General features: G+C 49.0%; 1 annotated feature.

Moving 5' to 3' along the window:
* Positions 1,961-2,460: an enhancer, noted in NCBI's record as "H3K27ac hESC enhancer chr7:47162015-47162514 (GRCh37/hg19 assembly coordinates)". NCBI's record gives its function as "activates a minimal SCP1, AML or CMV promoter by ChIP-STARR-seq in naive H9 embryonic stem cells {active_cell/tissue: H9 hESC(naive)}" and the evidence as "EXISTENCE:reporter gene assay evidence [ECO:0000049][PMID:30033119]".

Here is a 2,759-nt window from a genome sequence, read left to right on the forward strand (position 1 = left end):
GAGCCATTTCAGCCAACCAGTCAGGCCAGATGAGCAGAAGTTCCCAGTGGCTGCATCGTAACTGCTAAACCCAAAGCTGCTCCCTTGTGACAAGCCTGCTCCCCTGTTCAGGCCACCTGCAGGTGTCTCTGACCTCTGCTGGGACTCAGGCAGGGGGGGGCAGCCCTAAGCAAAAGGTTTGAATGCAGAGTCCACCAATTCTTGGCTGTGACCCCTAGAGAAAGTTCATCACTGTGCTGTCAATTTCTTCACTTGAAAGGGGAAATTTTCTGCATTACAGGATTTCTGTAAAAAGCATGTGAAAATACACACCAAGTAGGTGGCACATTTTTATGATTTACAAATTTTATCCAACTACCATATTCAATTAAACTGTGATTCCAGTGGGTGTCTTAGCCAGCTCAGGTTGCTATAACAAAACATCACAGAGTGGGTAACTTCAACGACAGAAATTTATTCTTTACAGTTTGGGAGGCTGGAAGTTCAAGATCAAGGTATTGGATAACTCGGTTCCTAGTGAGGGCTCCCTGCCCAGTTTATAGAAGGCCACCTTTTCACTGAGCCCTCACACAATGGAGAGAGAGATCATGTCTCTTGTGTCTCTTTTTATAAGGGCACTAATCTCATTCATGAGGACTCCACCTTCAGGAAATAATTACTTCCTATAAGCCTCACCTCCTGATATCATCATATTGGTGGGTACGGCTTCAAATGTGAATTTTGTAAGGACACAAACATTTGGTCCATAGCAGTGGCCAGAAAGTAGAAGGGGGTGGGAAAGAACGAGCCTCAAAAAGAATACCAACTCCTGTGAATCTATTCTTGACATTACTTCCTTCTCTCTCAGCAGTATTATTCAACCCCACGACTTCTAAATTGTTTGCCAGCCCAGATTTCCCTCCCAGAGATGAAAATCACATGCTAAAGGGACCCTCAAGCCTCTGGTGAGTGAAACCAGAAACACAGACCATCCTTGGCACTGTTTCCATATGGCCAGCATGGCTATGACCGGAGCCCCCATCCCCAAGCAGTGAAACAAGCCAGGGCAGACAAAGGACACAGCAAGGCATAGGCAGGTCTCATTTCGTATGAGCGCCTCAGGGTCAAGGTTAGGGCTTGCTTCCCATGCACACTGCACTTGGAATCTGGAATATATTTGGTGCTCAGTAAACTTGGATTTTCTATGTGAACGATTTAAATGAGTCCCTGCTGCAAGAGCACAGTGTTTCCATGCTTGCTGTTCTTTTGAACAACCACTGTTCACTTTCACATCTCCCTGGGCTGTCATTGCCTTAGGAGGCCTGCACTGGTCCCTGACATAGAGAGACCCTCACTGTTAGGGTCCTGGAGCACTGGAACCCTCCTCTCATAGGACACAACACACTCTAGTGAAATGGCATAGGACCTCTGTTTCCATTGGGACAGGAACTCCATGGCAGGCTTCCCTTGCGGGATGATGGATCACTGTGGGCTAATGGAATATTATACAAGGGAAGAAGCCACTGATTCTGTTTGAGCTGATCAGGGGAATGTTTGTGGAGACACCCTTGAGGGGCTTATCAAGTCAGAATGAGTTTTCCAAACAGACCAGGAAGATAGGAAAGTCCTGTGGAAGAAAACGCAGGCGTAAAGAGCCAGCGGTGTGCCATGGCCCCTGCATTTGGAGACCAGTGGAAGTTTAATGTGGCTGGAGTAGCAGGCAAATGTGCGAAAGCAGATTTGCACAGGAGGCAGTACAGGACTAGTCACGTTCATCATGCCTAACGTGATTCTGACCCAGGGCCAATCCCAGCAGACACCTGGCAATGACCAGAGACATTCTTGGTCATCACAACTGGGGAAGTGCTACTGGTATCCAGGGAGTGTTTCTCAGGGATGCTGTTAACAGCCTACAATGCACAGGGCAGCCTCCCACAGTAAAGTTACCCTGCCCCAAATGTCCCTGCTGCTGAGGTTGAGAAACCCTCCACTCCTGCAAGGCAGGATTAACACAGGACCGACCTCGCCATGGCCACTTCGGGCCTTCGTGACCCCAGCTGTGAAGGCCAGAGGACAGGAGAAAAAAAATGCAATGGGGACCAGTAGAGCCAAAATAAGGCTTGTGTTTCTGGGCTCTGGCCCAGTGTTGAGCCACTGCGTCCTCTGCCTCACCTGAAGGGGCTGCATCGGGAGCAAGAAGCCTGGCCACAGCCTTCTGGTCAGGTCTTGGCTATGGCTGCAGTCCATTTAAAACATTTTGTGACCCTAACTTTCCTCAGTGCCACTGACCTTCCTGCATCCCTCATGAAGCATAAACTCTGTGTCTGTGCTCTGCTGAGTTCAGTGATGGCCCTGCAGGCACCAAGGGGCCTATTGTGGAGGCCCTGGGGGGCAGGCACAGTGGGGAGGAGAGACGTGATGGCAGGGCCCAGCTCACTCAGAGTGCTGACAGTTAACAGACTCTCCTACAACCCAAGAGGCATCCGTTCCCATTCGGAAGCAAGGATGCTGAGGACTTGGCCACACCAATGGCTGGTTGAGGGTCACCCATGGTAAGGGATGAAGCCAGAGGCCCAAACACCAACACCAATTCAAAGGTGGTCTTTGAATCACTTGGGGCCACTCATGATGCCCTGTAACAGCCTGAGCAAACTCATTCTTCATTTGGTTGGTAGAAAAAGATTCTGAACTGTAGCAAGTTAGAGAATTGTTCTCACACTTGATTAAAATACAATTGCTAGCTGAAATCTGCAGTAGAGTTTTCGAACTCTTATATGGAC

This window comes from Homo sapiens, chromosome 7, assembly GCF_000001405.40.
Source record: "Homo sapiens chromosome 7, GRCh38.p14 Primary Assembly".
Classification (NCBI taxonomy): Eukaryota; Metazoa; Chordata; class Mammalia; order Primates; family Hominidae; genus Homo; species Homo sapiens.